At 35.2% G+C, this 20361-nt stretch overlaps 1 protein-coding gene across 20 annotated transcripts in view; it reads right to left on the bottom strand.

Annotated features, from left to right (window-relative positions):
• Window positions 1–20361, bottom strand: part of CDH18 (cadherin 18) — a 1104418-nt gene that overhangs the window by 28156 nt on the left and 1055901 nt on the right. For all 20 annotated transcript variants that reach the window (XM_005248228.5, NM_001349562.2, NM_001349556.2 and 17 more), the window contains one exon: window positions 3541–3658. In XM_005248228.5, coding sequence (XP_005248285.1) covers window positions 3541–3658 — 118 coding nt within the window. The remainder of the gene's footprint in view (window positions 1–3540; window positions 3659–20361) is intronic.

Here is a 20361-nt window from a genome sequence, read left to right on the forward strand (position 1 = left end):
TATATATAGCTACATATATATCATTAAATTTCTACATATCTCTATGTGGATCTATATAGTTCTCTATATATGTCAAAACTATAATTTTATTTTGACATGAATTTTCTAATTTTTTATACATATTTCTTTTACTGTTGCCTCATTTTGTCTAACCAATTTTTTTATCTTTTTTGTAAATATGTTATTAATTTATTTCTGTATTTTGAAGTAACAAAAGCATTTTTGTCATAATTTATGCATTTTTCATTAGTCAGAGCAAATTCATTTTTCTGATTTCTTTCTCAATTCATTCACTATCTTTTAAATTTTTGGTTCTCAGGCTTATCATGAACAACAACATGCATCTCTTTCTCTCTCTCTTTTTTTGAAAAATCTGTTTCTGTGCCCTTGCTTTTTGTCATATAGCAATTTGGGAGATGTCACTAAACCAATAGCTTTCTGATCACTCATCCTGGTTTCGGGGCTATGTCTGATTTCTGTTGTTTCTCTCAATACAGACTTTCATGTGAGAAGTAGGCACAGAAAGTAATAATTTTTTTCTAGATTTATTTCTTTATATTCTGGGGGCTTGTAAATGTCAGTTAACTTACATAGGCACAGAAAATGATAAATTTTCTTCTAGCTTTTTTTTTTTAATGTTCTGTGGGCATGTAAATGTCACTTAACTTACATAATACAAAGCCCAAGCACACAAGACCCTGCAGTCCAGCATTTTCTGACCCTTATTCCACTGTATTTTCATTTTAATTGATCTCCAGAGTACATGAATAAATATATGTATGTAAGCATGTGCATATGCATGTATGTATACAGTTTGGTAGGGCTATTTTATTTTTAATTTCATCTTTATACAGTATTATCTATAATTGCTTTGTCTATGGAGGCAAGACCATTTGATTCTAATATATTTATATATGGTATTATTAAATCTACCAAGGGTACTAAGCCAGTGATTGTAATCATGGAAAATGGATTTAAGAACTGAGGCTCAGGAGGTTTAGGGGCTGAATTTATGGAGGACAACCAAGACTGTTAACTCAAGTACATGTTTTCAGCTATGTGTCAATATTTCCATCCAAAAGAATTGCTGCTTTTTTCTATCCAAGATAAATTATTTCTGTGTTATTTATAATTTCAATACTCAAAAATTGTAAAAATATTCTAACAAAAATTTTAAACATCTTTAGCACTATGCAACCATCCACAGACTTCTCACACTCAAGCTACTGTAGCTGATGTAAACTTCATTTGCATAGTTAAATGTTAAAAAATGTACACACAAACTCTTTTAAAAGCATGTACATATTTTTTAGGGGAAAACCTATATATGAGTTCTGACACTAGTAATGTTGTCAAATCATTTAATTAAGACATTTCAAATATAATGGGTAATTAGCGGCCAGTCACGGTAGCTCACACCTGTAATCCCAGAGCTTTGGGAGGCTGAGGCAGGCAGATCACCTGAGGTCAGGAGTTTGAGACCAACCTGGCCAACATGATGAAACCCTGTCTCTACTAAAAAATACAAAAAAATTGCCAGGCGTGGTGGTGGGCGCCTGTAATCCCAGCTGCTTGGGAAGCCAAGGAAGGAGAATCGCTTGGACCCAGGAGCTGGAGGTTGCAGTGAGCAGAGATCACGCCATTACAATTCAGCCTGGGCAACAAGAGGGAAACTCTATCTCAATATATACAAATATATATAATTACATTTACATATATATAAAAATATATATAATTACAATTACATATATAAACATATATATAATTACATATATAATTACAATTATATATATATAATTTTAATTTAATTCACAAATTCCAGCTATAACAATCTTTTATGAAGAACTTCTCATTAAGAATGTGGGATTTGGCCAGGGGCAGAGGCTTATTCCTGTATTCCCAGCACTTTGGGAGGCCGAGGCGGGTAGATCACCTGAGGTCAGGAGTTCGAGATCAGCCTGGCCAACATGGTGAAACCCTGTCTCTACTGAAAAAAACAAACAAACAAGCAAACAAAAAACTAGCCAGGCATGGTACGAGAGCAAACCTCCCTCTTAAAAAAGAAAAAAAAAAAAAAAAGAATGTGGGATTCAATAATAGCAAAATTATTCTGTTTTTTCTAAAATACATTCAGAGTTATACCTATGTAGGTTAAACTGCTTGAATTGAACACATCTTCAAATCGAAGTCAAATTTTCATTGTAATGTTATCAAATTTAAATTATTTTAAAATATAAATTTTTATTGGAATAGAAAAAAATGCAACTGAAACATAAGTACATGGATCAACATATGATTCCAATCTCCTAAGGAAGCAAGTTAAATAACCTCTGCCAAATTTTACAATTCTTTGAAATATGGAAAAATATGATTTTTTCACAAGTTTCACATAGTTAATCATACTAAGTATATTTGAATTATAAGACAGCCTGTTCTAATGTAAGTAAATGTACAATAGTCAGTTAAATGCAATTTGTCATACACAAACATGCACAAATATTGATTCCCATAAGCAGAGCTGACATAGGGCCACTTAAAATGTGAGAGACAATTAAGCTTTAAATGTTCATATAGATCTTTTGGCTTTGTGCGCATTTTGATACTTTGTTATATTTAAAGATGTTCAGGGAAAATGGGAAAAATGCTTTTGGCAGGTTGTCATTTAGTGACTTGCATTTGAAAATCTTCTCCCGGAAGTGAAGAGAAAGGGAATTCAATGTTTACTTCAAAATGTATGTGCCACTGTTTTCTGCATGTGATTCTGAGGCAAGTGTTAAATTCCAAATAGCAGCATATTCAGATAAACATAATCAAATATATAGTTTGGACAAAGAAAAAGTTGATCCTAATCAGAAAACTGCACATACCATATGGCTTAATGTTTCCCTAATGTATGAAGAATGACTTATATGGAACCTTGAGAAATGTACCAAAGAGGACATCTAAATAATGAAGAAACTTCCGTAGTTACTAAATTATGGGATTATTTTTAACCACACTATACAGAAGGCTAAATGAAAATGATTCAAAAATTTCCAAAATATGCTGCATACTTCTGTGTATCCTTCTACCCATATTTTGGACAATGCTTATAATAACAAGAGGAAATATAATTTGTAAAGCACATCTTGATAGCCTTGCTCATACAAGATGATTGCAAGCATTGCATTTCCTTTAGTAACTGTCTCTAGGATATATTTTTCATTTTTTCCTAATTTGAATATTTTCTACCTCCAAGCAGTGGCAGCAGCTCTCATAAACAAGTTTGTCAGCTAAGATTTCTCTTAAAATTTGCCCAAGAGCATATTACATGTACATTTCTTGTTTAAAGAGATGCTTCTGAATAAATTCAATGAAAGTTATTTGTACATATGGCTCAATTTTAAACACAAGCTATTCACAGATCATAACACAGTAGCATCAAACTGACTTTGAATGCTGATTTGCAAGATGTTTGTGTGTATATAAGAATAAAGCCTATTACATATAAGGTCAAAGCAGATACCACATAGATAAACAAATATGTGTATATATGTTCACCTTCATTGTCCTTCAGAGTGAAGTTTGGATTTACAGGCAGGCGTTCATCAAGAAAGAAGTTAAACCTTGGTCCATTGGCAAAATCATCTTTATCAGTGGCACTGATGGTATGAATAACCTAAAGAAAAGACAAACTCTAAATCGTAAATTTAATTTTGCTTGTTCTCTTGATTTTAATTACACTGTATTATTTCTGTTTAAAAATATTTTTAAAGGATCTTTTCTTCCAACTTGAGTTATTTTTCAAATTCAGGTCATAAAACAATCAACTAAATTGCTGTATCCTGCATTAGATTTTAGGAAAAACACAGTATATAATTTCTAAACATTCATCACACTTTATTTTCTAGCATTGCAAACGCATTGATTTTTTTTTTCTTAATCAGCCATGGTACTGTGGGGTCAATTAGATGCAATGTTTTCACATGAATACCTGTTGGAGGAGACATAAAGTATTGTTTGCATAAATATAAATATCCCAGTGTTGATTCAGAATAGCTTATCACTGTATGTTGGTCTAAGTAGTAAATGCAAGAACAGTGGAGTCTTGGTTTTATTATTTTTTTCAGGAGGCCTTCAAGATCATGATCTAGTCCCTGTATGTTACAGACGAGGAGCCTGAATCCTGGAAGGATGGTGAGGTGCCCCAAATGTCTAAAATAATGGCAGAGGCTAAACAAGACCTTCCGTGATTTATGAATAACTTCTCCTCTCTAGTGCTCAGGAGAAAGCAATTCTTTAGAATCTGGACTTAATGTACACTAAAAAGCAGAGTAAGTTAGAATTTATGGTGGCCCAAGAGAAGAACGTGCATTTCAATAGGTATGGCCAGTCTGCTCTTAAAAAATAAATATCAAAATAAACAGACAAAAAGATATTTTCCTCTTTTGAAAATTATCATAATGCTTAGGTGTCTTCATTCAACCCTTTCCTTAGAAAAACGAGAAACAAAGAGAGAGAAGATAGAGCTGTGAAAATAATATTTCCTGTTTCTGAAATACATTGAACTAATATCATTTCTTAGAACATTATAACTAATTTCAACCAGTTCAATATTTTCCAAAGAAGGTAATTCACCAAAGGATATCACAGTTAAAACTTAAATTTCTCTGCGTGTTCTGAGCCCATTAGTTTGTCAGAAAGATGAGGAGGAAAATAAAAGTACTGAGAAGTGGGGGTGAGTGACAGTAACACCAGAAAAGCATGTGTTTTCATGAAGTGACAGTGAAGAAAGTACTTCAGGATACAGAAGAGATCAACTTCCTCATTATGTTTACTGGGCTCACTCTTTCACCGCCTTTCCATCACTGCTCAAAAGATACATGTTTAGCAAGATCCTATGTGCTCCTTACCCCTGCCTCCATCTCCAAATAAGTCTCTATCCTTCTTGATTTCCCTCCATATTTATTTATAAGCTGAAAATCTTTTTTTTTTATTTGAATACAACTAGTCTCTGGGTAGATTGTTTTTCCCCTTGTTTTCACTTAGAGTAGGGGAATACATTGATGGATAATCAGATATATTGTAAAAATTCCAGTGCTGCCTCATCTGAGGAACATATATACATTAGCTAGACATTAGTTACTTAATACAAAATTGAAATAAAATGTCAATATTTTAAGTTTTTTAAGGGTTAAATAAATATTTAAGCAGGCATTGCATAGTCCCTCACTTCCTCCAACACATACAAATATATAATGTTACCTCTTTTTTCCCCTTCTTTATAAAACAAATGTTCTCTCACCTTGCTCTTGAATTTTAGTGATTCTCCAGTGTGTGACCCTATTTTCTCCATCATACCTCATAACATAGTGATACATTTGCAAGTTTACTTTTTATCCAAGAATCGAATTTCGGAGTGATTGGTGAAGAATATTTCATTTGAGTTAACTGAGCCAGTTTATGGTTTCTGTTATCACTGCTGTGGGATTATTATTTTCTTTACTATACATTTCAGTTAGTATACAAATTATTTTAATTATTTCTTAATATTTTTACAAATATGAGCTTATTATACCTGTTAAACTCTGATATAATTCCTATTCTATTGTGTTTGTAAGGCATCTTTTTCACTTTTTTACAGATAATTTCAAATGCGAATTAAACAGAAAGCTCACATATGACAATCGTGTTTTTTTAAGAGAGAAACTCCTTGTGATTTTTGCACATTGATTTTGTATCCTGAGACTTTGCTGAAGTTGCCTATCAGCTTAAGGAGATTTTGGGCTGAGACGATGGGGTTTTCTAGATATACAATTATGTCATCTGAAAACAGGGACAATTTGACTTCCTCTTTTCCTAATTGAATACCCTTTATTTCCTTCTCCTGCCTGATTGCCCTGGCCAGAACTTCCAACACTATGTTGAATAGGAGTGGTGAGAAAGGGCATCCCTGTCTTGTGCCAGTTTTCAAAGGGAATGCTTCCAGTTTTTGCCCATTCAGTATGAGATTGGCTGTGGGTTTGTCATAGATAGCTCTTATTATTTTGAGATACATCCCATCAATACCTAATTTATTGAGAGTTTTTAGCATGAAGCATTGTTGAATTTTGTAAAAGTCCTTTTCAGCATCTATTGATATAATCATGTGGTTTTTGTTGTTGGTTCTGTTTATATGCTGGATTAGCTTTATTGATTTGCATATGTTGAACCAGCCTTGCATCCCAGGGATGAAGCTCACTTGATCATGGTGGATAAGCTTTTTGATGTGCTGCTGGATTCGGTTTGCCAGTATTTTATTGAGGATTTTTGTATCGATGTTCATCAGGGATATTGGTCTAAAATTCTCTTTTTTTGTTGTGTCTCTGCCAGGCTTTGGTATCAGGATGATGCTGGCCTCATAAAATGAGTTAGGGAGGATTCCCTATTTTTCTATTGATTGGAATAGTTTCAGAAGGAATGGTACCAGCTCCTCTTTGTACCTCTGGTAGAATTTGGCTGTGAATCCATCTAGTCCTGGACTTTTTTTGGTTTGTAGGCTATTAATTATTGCCTCAATTCCAGAGCCTGTTATTGGTCTATTCAGAGATTCAACTTCTTCCTGGTTTAGTCTTGGGAGGGTGTATGTGTCAAGGAATTTATCCATTTCAAATCAATGTGGAAAAATCACAAGTATTCTTATACACACATAACAGAGAGCCAAATCATGAGTGAACTCCCATTCACAATTGCTTCAAAGAGAATAAAATACCTAGGAATCCAACTTACAAGGGACATGAAAGACGTCTTAAAGGAGAACTACAAACCACTGCTCAATGAAATAAAATAGGATACAAACAAATGGAAGAACATTCCATGCTCATGGGTAGGAAGAATCAATATTGTGAAAATGGCCATACTGCCCAAGGTAATTTATAGATTCAATGCCATCCCCATCAAGCTACCAATGACTTTCTTCACAGAATTGGAAAAAACTACTTTAAAGTTCATATGGAACCAAAAAAGAGTCCACGTTTCCAAGTCAATCCTAAGCCAAAAGAACAAAGCTGGAGGCATCATGCTACCTGACTTCAAACTATACTACAAGGCTACAGTAACCAAAACAGCATGGTACTGGTACCAAAACAGAGATATAGACCAATAGAACAGAACAGAGCCCTCAGAAATAATGCTGCATATCTACATCTGATCTTTAACAAGCCTGGCAAAAACAAGAAATGGGGAAAGGAATCCCTGTTTAATAAATGCTGCTGGGAAACTGGCTAGCTATATGTAGAAAGCTGAAACTGGATCCCTTCCTTACACCTTATACAAAAATTAATTCAAGATGGATTAAAGACTTAAATGTTTGACCTAAAACCATAAAAACCCTAGAAGAAAACCTAGGCATTACCATTCAGGACATAGGCATGGGCAAGGACTTCCTGTCTAAAACACCAAAAGCAATGGCAACAAAAGCCAAAATTGACAAATGGGATCTAATTAAACTAAAGAGCTTCTGCACAGTGAAAGAAACTACCATCAGAGTGAACAGGCAACCTACAGAATGGGAGAAAATTTTTGCAATCTCCTCATCTGTCAAAGGGCTAATATCCAGAATCTACAATGAACTCAAACAAATTTACAAGAAAAAAGCAAACAACCCCATCAAAAAGTGGGCAAAGGATATGAACAGACACTTCTCAAAAGAAGACATTTATGCAGCCAAAAGACACATGAAAAAATGCTTATCATCATTGGCCATCAGAGAAATGCAAATCAAAACCACAATGAGATACCATCTCACCCCAGTTAGAATGGTGATCATTAAAAAGTCAGGAAACAACAGGTGCTGGAGAGGATGTGGAGAAATAGGAACACTTTTACACTGTTGATGGGAATGTAAACTAGTTCAACCCTTGTGGAAGTCAGTGTGGCAATTCCTCAGGGATCCAGAACTAGAAATGCCATTTGACCCAGCCATCCCATTACTGGGTATATACCCAAAGGATTATAAATCATGCTGCTATAAAGACACATGCACACGTATGTTTATTGCGGCACTATTCACAATAGCAAAGACTTGGAACCAACCCAAATGTCCAACAATGATAGACTGGATTAAGAAAATGTGGCATGTATACACCATGAAATACTATGCAGCCATAAAAAATGATGAGTTCATGTCCTTTGTAGGGACATGGATGAAGCTGGAAACCGTCATTCTGAGCAAACTATCGCAAGGACAAAAAACCAAACACCACATGTTCTCACTCATAGGTTGGAATTGAACAATGAGAACACATGGACACAGGAAGGGGAACTTCACACACTGGGGCCTGTTGTGGGTTGGGAGGAGGGGCGAGGGATAACATTAGGAGATATATCTAATGTTAAATGACGAGTTAATAGGTGCAGCCCACCAACATGGCACATGTATACATATGTAACCAACCTGCACGTTGTGCACATGTACCCTAGAACTTAAAGTATAATTTAAAAAAAAGAAGAGAGAAACTCCTAGTCTCTACATAAAAAATGAGGATTTGATTATCATGTCTTGTTTAACAATGTCCCAATCATCTTGAACTCTTACAGAGTTGTTGATAATGTATGTAAGCTTCAATTTTTATTAATCGTATTTCTGAAAAAAAAAAAAGCTTCCAAAAACGAGAATGTCAGTCTGACTTTGTCCAAAATGCTGTAATATTTGCTTGGTCTCTGCTCTGTATTGGCATATTCAATATTTCTGTTTTACAAATCACCTTGTCTCTTTCATCATGTAATAGAATTTGCATTCATTGTTACCTTAGACTTTCTTTAGAAAATATACCTGGGAACTTAACATGTTTATGGTTTTTAGAAGTTATAAACTTCTGGCAGATATCTAGATAATTGCCAGGTTTCCATCATCAAATTTTCTATCCCTTTGTCAGAATTCTGATTTATATCCACTGTGTTACCTTGCTATTTCTTTGTCCAATTGCTTTAGTAATATAAAATCCCTAAGAATATCTTTTTTGATTCATGTGTCTTCTAATTGAACCCAAATGTTATTTATCACATATACATGATCTAATTAATACATAGAATGGTTATTTATTTTTAAAGATATCAAATAAATGATATTACAAATTTAGTCTACATTACAAAAGCAAAGGGTGAAAAAAAATAGACAGTTGCTATTTATAAATAATTACCAGGGAGTATTTTTGATATCTACAAATAGATGTATCCACTTTTAAAAATATACTTTCAATTGTCTGTTAATTGAGACAGACTGTTACTGTTAATTAGAGTTACTGTTACTGTTACTGTTAATTAGAGTACTTTATTAGGGAAAAGTCAGTATCACAAATATATAAAATTTGTCTAATCTAATACCATAATGTTAGTTTTGGCAAATGAACTTGCTTGGCTTAAGCATTTTAAAAAGGAAGTTCTTTCTTTCTTTTCTTTTTTTTTTTTTTTTTGTGGCAGAGACTCACTCTGTAACCAAGGCTGGAGTGCCAGAGGCACGATCTCTCAATCTCAGCTCACTGTAACCTTCACCTCCTGGGTTCAAGTGATTCTCGTGTCTCAGCCACCGAGTAGTTGGGATTACAGGTGTAAGCCACCATGCCTAATTTTTGTATTTTTGGTAGAAATGGGTTTTTGCTATGTTGGCCAGGCTGGTCTAGAACCCCTGGCCTCAAGTGATCTGCCCTCCTTGGCCTCCCAAAATACTGGGATTACAGGTGTGAATCACTGCGCCTGGCCAAGAATGTTCTTAACTCAGAAATAGAAAACCAAATACCACGCGTTCTCACTTATAAATGGAAGCTAAACAATGGGGACAAAGGAACATAAAGATGAAAATAATAGACAACAGGGACTCCAAAAGGGCAGAGAGTGGGAAGGGGCAAGGGTTGAAAAATAACCTGTTGGGCACAATGTTCACTATTTGAGTAATGCATACACTACAGGCCCAATCCCCACCAGTATACAACATACCCATGTAAAAAAATGCCCATGTAACCTCTCGATCTAAAATAATTTTTTCTAAAATACATAGTGTCCTGTTTAGTCAATGCATCTGCTTCATAATATAATCGTTAATAGTATCTGCATACATTTATTTGATAACATCAACTTTTGTTATTTAAATGAGCTTGATTTTTGACAGTAAAGAATCTCTATTGACCTAGTTAATTTTTTCATGCAAAGCTATATGGTTAATAATTGTATGTGGTGGAAGCAGAGAATGTTATGTAATAAAATTTCTTTTATGTGTTATTTTTGTACATTTATTTCTAATGAAAGAAAGAATACAGAGGAAGTTTAATATGCATAAAATAGAATAGACTCTCTTTATTTTTTCAATGTTTCCACTTTAGGCATATCTAAATTTTTCTTAAATCATTCTACTTTGGGAACTGTCTTCAAATTTCATGCATGCATGCCTTTCTTTTTAATATTTTTCTCAGGCAACATACTAAAAGATTTTTTTTTTCAGAACAGGAAAATATATTAACTTAGAGAACTATATTGTTGCAGTTTACATTAGTATCTCTATTTACCTGAACTCTGCTGTTATACGGGGCTTAAACTTTCATAAAAAGCCAATCTCTTTGACATAGCTACATGCTGATACGTTTAGATGTGCAGCATTCATAATAGAAATATCCGTAATTTGAAAAGCAATTGTCATTGAAAGAGGAACAGTCACACAGCCTGGCAATACAAATACACTTCAGAAAACTGATTTCGCCAATTGTTGTTTAAATAGAGTTTCTTATTCCAACTCTGCATCAGGATGCATCGGATTTCTTCAAAAGTGTTTTCAAGATATGGTTAAAAGAGTCAAACACTATGAAACTAAAGAATACAGATTCGGGCCATTTCACTCTGTAATGGGTTAATCTCACAAGCAGAGCACATACACTGGTAATGATTTGTCTAAATGTGGATGCCACAAGCTACACTTACAAACAATCTTTTCTCCCATCAATTAAAGCTTAAAGTTATTTTGGTGGAAGAGGTGAAAACAAATACACAAGCAACAGCATAATAAGTTCAATTATCTTATAATCACATCTAAAACTATTCAATGTTAAAGGCAACAATGGTAGCTAAATGTATAGTGTTTTAAAGTGCAAAAAGGAGTAACCACATAATCAACTTACAAAACTTAATCAAAATATTAGAAGGGTAGTAATGTCAAATGCTAAGTGTAGTAATTACCTTTTTGATATGGTTAGGTTTTGTGTCCCCACTAAAATCATATTGAATTATAATCCCCATAATCCCCACATTATAATCCCACATAACCCCTACCTGGAGAGACCAGGTGGAGGTAATTGGATCATGAGGGTGGCTTTCCCCTATGCTGTTCTCCTGTTAGTGAGTTCTCAGGAGATCTGATTTTTTTTTTTTTTCTGAGACCAAGTTTTGCTCTTGTTGCCTAGGCTGGAGTGCAGTGGTGCAATTTCAGCTCACTACAACTTACGCCTCCTGGGTTCAAGCGATTCTCCTGCCTCAGCCTCCCGAGTAGCTGGGATTACAAGCACCTGCCACCATGCCTAGCTAATTTTTTGTATTTTGAAAGAGATGGGGTTTTGCCATGTTGGGCAGGCTGGTCTTGAACTCCTGACCTCAGATGATCTGCCTGCCTTAGCCTCCCAAAGTACTGGGATTACAGGCATGAGCCAATGCACCCAGCCGATCTGATGGTTTTATAAGCAGCTCATCCCCCATCTCTCAGCACTTCTCTTTCATGCAGGCTTCTGAAGAAGGTGCCTTGCTTCCCCTTGGCTTTCCCCCGTGATTGTAAGTTTCCTGAGGCTTCCCTAGCCATGCTGAACTGTGAGTCAATTAAACCTCTTTCCTTTATACATTACCATGTCTCAAGCAGTTCTTAATAGTATGAAAACAGACTAATACAGTAAATTGGTACCACGGAGAGTGGGACACTGATACAAAGATACCAAAAAATGTGAAATTGACTTTGGAACTGGGTAAGAGGCAGAGGTTGGAACAGTTTGGAGGGCTTAGAAGACAGGAAGACGTGGGAAGGTTTGGAACTTTCTAGAGACTCGTTGAATGGCTTTGACGAAAATGCAGATAGTGATATCTAAAATGAAGTCCAGGCTGAGGACGGAGATGAGGAACCTGTTGCAAACCAGAATAAAAGTGACTCTTGCTATGCTTTAGCAAAGAGACTGGTGGCATTTTGCCCCTGCTCTAGGGATCTGTGAAACTTTGAACTTGAGAGAGATGATTTAGGGTATCTAGTGGAAGAAATTTTTAATAGCAAAGAGCACCCTGGTGCTCTTAAAATCATTCAGTTTTATGCATTTCAAAGGGATGGTTTGAATTTGGAACTTAGGTTTTAAAGGGAAGCAGAGCATAAAAGTTTGGAAAATTTGAAGCCTGACAATGAAATAAAAAAGACAAAACCATTTTCTGAGGAGAAATTCAAGTTGTGTAAGTATCGAGGAGCCAAATGTTAATCACCAAGACAATGGAGAAAATGTCTCCAGGGTATGTCAGAGGTGTCCTCGGCAGCCCCTCCCATCACCAACCTAGAGGCCTAGGAGGAAAAACTGTTTTTGTGGGCCAGCCCAGGACCATGCTGCTTTGTGCAGGACTTGGTGCCCTGCATCCAAGTCATAGCTAAAAGGGGCCAATACACAGCTCAGCCCATTGCTTCAGAGAAAATAAGTATCAATTAAGCCAAGAGCAAGGGCTGGGTGTTATTGGCCTAGATTTGCAGCAGACTACATAGGTAGCATGGGACTAGCAACCATTGTTGTGCCATATTATGAGAATATACTTTAACCTTAAAGCTTTGAAATGATCTTGAAATTTAAAAATACAATCTATATGCTTATTTAAATGAATTTTTAAAATTATAATTAGTCCGAAAACAATGTCTGATGCAAACATAAGCCCATGCTTGGTTCTTTAAATCATATTTCAAATGATATTTTTAATTTACCAATTTTTAGATCTCTGAGTAATCTAAAAATCATGGAAATAAAGATCCACTGAGGCAAAGGACCTAAGTTTTAAGAGTTGCCCTCTAGAGAGACAGTAGTTGAGTGCTAACAAGGGTAACATTTACTCTTAGGTGTCTTATTTTCAATGTAATGGCAAATGGTCTAGTGTTTCAACTTAATTTTCTAATTGTTTGTGGTATGAGAACTCTAAATAACATGTTTATATTGACCTGATATTTAGCAAATTTGTTAATGTCATTCAAAAATTCTACCTGCGTATAGCAGCATTGTCACGGTTGTTGCTATTATTAATGGGTGTTGAATTTTCACAAATGCTTTGGATTCTCCTGATTAGGTAGGTTTTTATTTTTCATCGTCTCTTTTTAAAATACTATCCTTTTTTGCTTTATATGGTTTACAAATATTTTAATTATGACATTTATTATATCTATGATCGTGCAGAGAATAGCTATAATTCCACTTATACCTTTTGATGTTAAAGTTATGCTGGCATCATAAAATGTGTACAAAAATGATCCTGCCACCCTTTTTCTGAACTCTTGAATACCTTTTACAATTACTGTCATGATTTTTCTTAAATTTTTAGTAGAATTCACCATTAAAGCCATGAGAAGAGAATTTATTTGTGGAAAGGTTTTTATTTATATATTTAATGAATTTAATAAATACAACTTTAATCAGTCCTTATTTATTTATTTATATTTATTTATTTTCTGAGACAAGGTCTCACTTTGTTACCCAGGCTGGAGTGCAGTGGCAGGATCACAGCTCACTACAGACTTGACCTCCAGGGCTCAAGGGATCCTCCCACTTAAGACTCCCAAGTAGCTGGGATTATAGGCATGAGCCACCAAGCCCAGCTAAATCTATTCTTGTGTCAGCTTTGACAAACTTTACTTTTCTAAAAATATATGCATTATGTCTAAACTTTCAAATTTTAGTAAAAGACGACATTGTAATATACAATTGGCTTCTGATATCTGTAAAGTCTATAGTTACAAGAGGCGGTAAGCCTCTTGATTTTTTCCTAATATTCTTCATTTGTTCTATTTCTCTCTTTTGTTTTTAACAATTTACCAGGGACTTATCTGTCTTTTCAAATAACTAAGCTGTGAACTCTTCAATGTTTTCTTTTGGTTCATTTCCATGTCATTAAATTCATCTCATAAATTGTTATTCTATTTTATTTGGATTAAATTGATTTATTTTTCTAACTTCTTAAGAATAATGCTTAGGCTTTTAATTTGCATTATTTTATCTTCTTTATTATATGCATTTAAAATTATAAATTTCCTGTTAGTTATGGCTGAACTGTTTCCTAGAAATTTTTATATGGACTTATTTACATTATCATTTCATGGAACTTGTTTTTTCATTTAAGTTTGTTCTTCTTCATGGAATATTAAGTTACTTAGAAGTGCATTCCTTTATTTGCAATATGATTTTTTTTTTATACTTTAAGTTCTAGGGTACATGTGCACAACATGCAGGTTTGTTACATATGTATACCTGTGCCATGTTGGCTTGCTGCACCCATTAATTCGTCATTTACATTAGATATTTCTCTTAATGCTATCCCTCCCCCATTCTCCCACCCCATGACAGGCCCCAGCGTGTGATGTTCCCCACCCTGTGTCCAAGTGTTTTCATTGTCCAATTCCCACCTATGAGTGAGAACATGCAGTATTTGGTTTTCTGTCCTTGTGATAGTTTGCTCAGAATGATGGTTTCCAGCTTTATCCACGTCCCTACAAAGGACGGGAACTCATCGTTTTTATGGCTGCATAGTATTCCATGGTGTATATGTGCCACATTTTCTTAATCCAGTCTATCATTGATGGACATTTGGGTTGGTTCCAAGTCTTTGCTATTGTGAATAGTGCTGCAATGAACATACATTTGCATGTGTCTTTATAGTAGCATGGTGTATAATCCTTTGGGTATATACCCAGTAATGGGACCACTGGGTCAAATGGTATTTCTATTTCTAGATCCTTGAGGAATCTCCACACCGTCTTCCACAATGGTTGAACTAGTTTACATTCCCATCAACAGTGTAAAAGTGTTCCTATTTCTCCACATCCTCTCCAGCACCTGTTGTTTCCTGACTTTTTAGTGATCGCCATTCTAACTGGTGTGAGATGGTATCTCATTGCTGTTTTGATTTGCATTTCTCTGATGACCAGTGATGATGAGCATTTTTTCATGCGTCTGTTGGCTGCATAAATGTCTTCTTTTGAAAAGTGTTTGTTCTTATCCTTTGCCCACTTTTTGATGGGGTTGTTTGATTTTTTCTTGTACATTTGTTTAAGTTATTTGTAGATTCTGGATATTAGCCCTTTGTCAGATGAGTAGATTGCAAAAATTTTCACCCATTCTGTAGGTTGCCTGTTCACTCTGATGGTAGTTTCTTTTGCTGTGCTGAAGGTTTTTAGTTTAATTAGATCTCATTTGTCTATTTTGGCTTTTGTTGCCATTGCTTTTGGTGTTTTAGTCATGAAGTCCTTGCCCATGCCTATGTCCTGAATGGAATTGCCTAGGTTTTCTTCTAGGGTTTTTATGGTTTTAGGTCTAACATTTAAGTCTTTAATCCATCTCGAATTAATATCTGTATAAGGTGTAAGGAAGGGATCCAGTTTCAGCTTTCTACATATGGCTAGCCAGTTTTCCCAGCACCATTTATTAAACAGGGAATCATTTCCCCATTTATTGTTTTGTCAAGTTTGTCAAAAATCAGTTGGTTGTAGATGTTTGGTGTTATTTCTGAGGGCTCTGTTCTGTTCCATTGGTCTATATCTCTGTTTTGGTACCAGTACCATGCTGTTTTGGTTACTGTAGCCTTGTAGTATAGTTTGAAGTCAGGTAGCGTGATGCCTCCAGCTTTGTTCTTTTTGCTTAGGATTGTCTTGGCAATGTGGGTTCTTTTTTGGTTCCATATGAAATTTAAAGTAGTTTTTTTCCAATTCTGTGAAGAAAGTCATTGGTAGCTTGATGGGGATGGCATTGAATCTATAAATTACCTTGGGCAGTATGGCCATTTTCATGATATTGATTCTTCCTATCCATGAGCATGGAATGTTCTTCTATTTGTTTGTATCCTCTTTGTTTCATTAAGCAGTGGTTGGTTTGCAGTTCTCCTTGAAGAGGTCCTTCACATCCCTTTTAAGTTGTATTCCTAGGTATTTTATTCTCTTTGTAGCAATTGTGAATGGGAGTTCACTCATGATTTGGCCTTTTGTTTGTCTGTTACTGGTGTATAGGAATGCTTGTCATTTTTGCACATTGATTTTGTATCCTGAGACTTGGCTGAAGTTTCTTATCAGCTTAAGAAGATTTTGGGCTGAGACAATGGGGTTTTCTAAATATACAATCATGTCATCTGCAAACAGGGACAATTTCACTTCCTCTCTTCCTAATTAAATACTCTATTTCTTTCTCTTGCCTGATTGCCCTGGCCAGAACTTCCAACACTATGTTGAATAGGAGTGGTGAGAGAGGGCATCCCTGTCTTGTGCCAGTTTTCAAAGGGAATACTTCTAGTTTTTGCCCATTCAGTATGATATTGGCTGTGGGTTTGTCATACAAAGCTCTTATTATTTTGAGATACATTCCATCAATACCTAGTTTATTGAGAGTTTTTTAGCATGAAGGGCTGTTGAATTTTGTCAAAGGCCTTTCTGCATCTATCGAGATAATTATGTGGTTTTTGTCTTTGGATATGTTTATGTGATGGATTACATTTATTGATTTGCGTAGGTTGAACCAGCCTTGCATCCCAGGGATGAAGCTAACTTGATCTTGGTGGATAAGCTTTTTGATATGCTGCTGGATTTGGTTTGCCAGTATTTTATTGAGGATTTTCACATTGATATTCATCAGGGATATTGGTCTAAAATTCTCTATTTTTGTTGTGTCTCTGCCAGGCTTTGGTATCAGGATGATGCTGGCCTCATAAAATGAGTTTGGGAGGATTCCCTCTTTTTCTATTGATTGGAATAGTTTCAGAAGGAATGGTACCAGCTCCTCTTTGTACCTCTGGTAGAATTTGGCTGTGAATAAGTCTGGTCCTAGACTTTTTTTGGTTGGTAGGCTATTAATTATTGCCTCAATTTCAGAGGCTGTTATTGGTCTATTCAGCGATTCAACATCTTCCTGGTTTAGTCTTGGTAGGGTATATTGTCCAGGACTGTATCCATTTCTTCTAGATTTTCTAGTTTATTTGCAAAGAGGTGTTTATAGTATTCTCTGATGGTAGTTTGTATTTCTGTGGGATCGGTAGTGATATCCCCTTTATCATTTTTTATTGTGTCTATTTGATTCTTCTCTCTTTTCTTCCTTATTAGTCTTGCTAGTGGTCTCTCAATTTTGTTGATCTTTTCAAAAAAAACAAGCTCCTGGATTCATTGATTTTTTGAAGGTTTTTTGTGTCTCTATCTATGAATTCACCACAATTTGCTTAACCATTCACCTATTGAAGGATGTCTTTGTTGGTTCCAGTCTGGGTTTTTTATAAATAAAACTGCTATAAATAATTGTGCACATTTTGTTGTATAAACATAAAATTTCATATCTCTGTGGGAAATGCCCAAAAATGCAGTTCTGAATTTTATGGTAGCTGCATATTTAATTTTTTATGAAACTGTCAAAATATGTTTCCCAGTAGCAGTACCATTTTACACTTTCACCAATGATGTAGAAATGACCTAATTTCTCCACAATTTACCAAAAAGTTTAGCTCTTATGCTAGGCCTGTAGCGATATCACATTGTAGTTTTAATTTCTATTTACCTAATGTGAATAGAAATAATTTTTAAAAAATATGTGGAATATCTTTTTATATGCTGGTTGGCTCTTTCTATGTCCTTGTCAGTAAATGTCTGCTCTTGTATTTTGCCCATTTTCAAATTGGATTTTATCTTCTGTTTTTATTGTTGAGTTTTGAAACTATAGTACTATAAGTAGAAAGTCTGTAGTTTGTCTTTTTTTTATCATCTTAACAGACTTTTTCAAAGAGCATCTTTTTCAAAGAGCAAAACTGTTAAAGTTTGATGAAATTCAATTTATCACTGTTTCCTTTTATGGATCATGCTTTTTGGGGTCAAGTCAAAGAATGCTTTGCTTTATCTTAGGTCCTGTGATTTTGATTGTGGTATCACCTATCTTTTTTCTCTTGCTGCTTTTACTTTTGCTAATATTTTACTTTAGTGCACTGAGGCAAATTTACCTTTGTAGGCAGTATGCTTGGTGGTTTTGTTTCTCTTGTTTCTTGAGTGTTTGGCTTGATATTTCCATCAATTTGGAATAACTTTCAGCTATAATCATCTTAAATATTATTTCAGTCCCATTCTCTCTCATATGCCTCTCAGAATTGAAAAACTTTTATATTACACTTGCATGTCCCATATGTCTCTCATACTCTTATTTATATTTTCTTTTTCTTTCCATGCTTCAACATGGATTTTTTTATTCTGACTTACTTTCCAGTTCCCTTATTTTTCTTGCACTATGTCTAAGCTGCTGTTATTACCAGTAATTGAGATACTGTATTTTCTTAAATTTAAATTTTCCATTAGAATGTTTAATATTTTTTCATCAACTGTGCTTTTATAATGTATTTCAAGAACATTATGTTAGGATGTATGCATCCATTTTTAATAGAATTGAAATAAAATTTGCTGAATATTTAATAATATATTTATACTATAAAAGTATTTACTGGTTTTGAAATCAGTGCATAGAAAAATATTTAAGCATATAAAATAATAATCTTAATATTTTAAGTGAATAAATTATATAAACTGCACAATGCTTTCAAGTATAACTTTACTGTGTCCTCATTCATATTTCTAATTTTCTCATGGGAAATGTTAAATTAATTAAGTAGGAGGCCATATCAGCCTGAGGCTATCATTGCATTTTTAGTTTCTGTGTAACAAAATGCTACCTAAATATGTTTGATGGTTAATATTGAGTGTCAACTTGATTGGACTGAAGGATGCAAAGCATTGTTCCTGGTGTGTCTGTGAGGGTGTTACCAAAGGAGATTAACATTTGAGTCAGTGGACTAGGAGAGGCAGACCCACCCTCAATCTGGGTGGGCACCATCTAATCAGCTGCCAGACAGGCTAGAATAAAACAGGCAGAAGATGGAAGAGCAGACTTGCTGAGTCTTCCGGCCCTCGTCTTTTTCCTGTGCTGGATCCTTCCTGACCTTGAACATCAGACTCCATGCTCTTCAGATTTGGATTCTTGGACTTACACCAGTGGTTTACCAGGGGATCTCAGTCCTTTGGCCACAGGCTGAAAGCTGCACTGTTGGCTTCCCTAATATTGAGGTTTAGGGACTCAGACTGGCTTCCTTGCTCCTCAGCTTGCACAGGGCCTACTGTGGGACTTCACCTTGTGATGGTGTGTGAGTCAATACTCCTTAATAAACTCCCTTTCATATATACTTCTATCCTATTAGTTCTGTCTCTCTAGAGAACTCTGACTAATACATTATGCCAACTAAAAGAAACCTAATTTAGGAATATAATTTTAGTAACAAATAGCTGGGTTTCAGGCAATTACAAGACAGCCAACTGGTCACTAATGCCCAAATAAAGCAAACGCCTAGCTGTACCCGGTCAGGTAATTTCTCTACTTGGCTTCTGTGTTCAGCCTTTGAAAGCCTGTTGCTCACACTGCTGGATGGAGCTCTTTAAACTTCTTCTGATTGTGAGTGTAGCCCAATTTGTTACTCATTTTTTGCTTAAATAAGCCCTTTTAAATGTATTATGTCTAGAGTTTTTTATTTTAACAACAGTGAACATGAAAAAAGCTTTATGTTACAAAGCCAGACATTGAGATAGACATATATTTTTCCCTGACGGGACTAAAAACAAATAGGTAATGATTACTTTAGCAAGCCTCACAATTGTCCCTCATACATAAACACAAAAAAGGATGCTTCTCAGGAGTATAATTTCAGCACAAGTTTCAAAATGACTTGGCATGATTTGGGAAGGTATACTCATTTGGGTTCACTAAAGACAATAATAGAGTACTTTTGACTCAGAAAGGGCATATTTTGACCTATACCCTTTCCACTTCTGGATTCATCCACAGCAGATAGATTTTAAGGTGCTGCTCCTGGAATGCACGCCTTCCTGTAATCCCTCTGCCTTCAGTGTGGGTATGACCTGTGTCTTGGTTCTGAAAACAGAATATGGCAAATGTGTTGATGCATGACTCACTTGATTACATTACATTATATGAGGCTGTTTTGCCTGCAGGCTTGCTCCTCTTATTTGCTTGATGAAATAACTGGACATATTGGGGAGGTCCAAATGGCAAGCAACTGCTTGTGGTATCTCAGAGATATGGGCAGCCTTGAGGAGTAAAGGAAAGTCTTGACTTTCTC

The sequence above is a fragment of the Homo sapiens genome, chromosome 5 (genome assembly GCF_000001405.40).
Source record: "Homo sapiens chromosome 5, GRCh38.p14 Primary Assembly".
Lineage (NCBI taxonomy): Eukaryota > Metazoa > Chordata > Mammalia > Primates > Hominidae > Homo > Homo sapiens.